Below are 1,652 nucleotides of genomic sequence, written 5' to 3' on the forward strand. Positions count from 1 at the left end.
TGGAACTTCGAGCTTTAGTTCTCTTACTAATGGCAATGAGGCTTCCTTGTATTTTCTTCTTCTTTCTCAAGAATGTACCATTTGTCAGGTTTCAGCATCTCTACCCAAATCTACTCCTCTGAATACTAAAATGTCCTTAAAGAAATGGATTTTAAAACTACTACTACCTTTAATTAATACATATATAGACTACTATGAAATCAAAATGGTTTCTAAAAGTTCAAAACTTGAAAGGGTCATCTGACATCCAACTAATACAACAGAAGAGATTTTAACCAGTAAGTAGTTCCAGTGGGTTATTTGAAGTTTATAGCTTTTGTCCCTTATACAGTCTCCACTAGACAACCCCAAGACACTTGAAATAAACAATTCAAGTGTGCTTGCCACTGAAATCAGCTACAAAGCAATTCACCTACCCAAACTTTCCAAGCCAGCTGCTCACCTCAAGCTCTGACTTTATGACAATTACAGGGCTGCCTGTAGGTTTGCAGATGCTTTGAACTGGACTGTTGCTGACAAGGACTTCTTGAAACACATATCTCATCAGCCTAGTTCTGTGTATATGTGTGTGTGTGTGTGTGTGTGTGTGTGCGCGCGCGCATTTGTGCGTACATGTGTGTATAGTGATGTCTCTAAAGATATGGAAAAGTGCCATGAAGTCTTGAGTAGACAGGATACAGATGGTTTTTCTAGTAATTGAGAAAATAGAGATAGGGCTTAATAAATTATAAGAGAAAAGGGACTGAAAGTCATAATGGTAATTAATTTTGTTTGTAGGTGTGGTTTCTGCCAGATTTATTTTGGTTTGTTTGGTCTTTTTGTGGCCAGCAAGGAGCTCAATATTATAAGAAAATGAATTTAGGGTCTCCATTGTTATCCTTCTTAGGCTCACAGCCCTCTTTCCAAATTTGTATTTTGGTCATATTCTTGAAGAAAACAACAGGGGAGAAAGTAACACCTGAACAGGTCAGCAACAATCACCACACTATTATTACAGTATAGCAATGTCTCCTAGTGTCAAGAAAAGCAATTTTCCTCATATCTCTTCCCCCCCGACCCCGCCGAGACGGAGTTTCACTCTTAAGCCCAGGCTGCAGTGAAGTGGCCCGCGGTCTCGGCTCACTGCAATCTCCGCCCCCTGAGTTCAAGCGAGTCTCCTGCCTCAGCCTCTGGAGTAGCTGGGATTACAGGCACCAGCCACCACACCCGACTAATTTTTGTATTAATCCAACACTTTTTTTCACTAGATTCTCCACAACTTTCTACCGAATTGAATGCAATAATATATAGACAGAATAAACCTAAGGTCATGAGGATGGAATCAATAAATGAACACAAGGTATAATGAAGATAAAATAAGTTGCCGTGTATATAATGGTCATATTTGGGCATTCCACCATAGCATAGATAGTTGACAACTGAACGACTTCCCATCTGACATTGTATAACTCATATTTTCTTTTATAAATATGCTAAAGCAAATCCCTAGGATTGCAAACTAAAACAAGTGTTTTTGTCTAAATTTGTCAAGAAAGTGTCATATGATATTTAAAGAAACTAAAAGGTTATATTAGGTAATTATGTTAACCTCATTCTATCATAACACTTCATATTGTCTCTGATTGTATCTTATTTTTATTCAGACATACATC

General features: G+C 37.9%; 1 annotated feature.

Moving 5' to 3' along the window:
* Positions 227-427: a silencer, noted in NCBI's record as "peak3042 fragment used in MPRA reporter construct". NCBI's record gives its function as "represses an SCP1 promoter by STARR-seq MPRAs in K562 erythroleukemia cells {active_cell/tissue: K562}" and the evidence as "EXISTENCE:reporter gene assay evidence [ECO:0000049][PMID:32103011]".

Source organism: Homo sapiens, chromosome 18 (assembly GCF_000001405.40).
Source record: "Homo sapiens chromosome 18, GRCh38.p14 Primary Assembly".
NCBI lineage: Eukaryota > Metazoa > Chordata > Mammalia > Primates > Hominidae > Homo > Homo sapiens.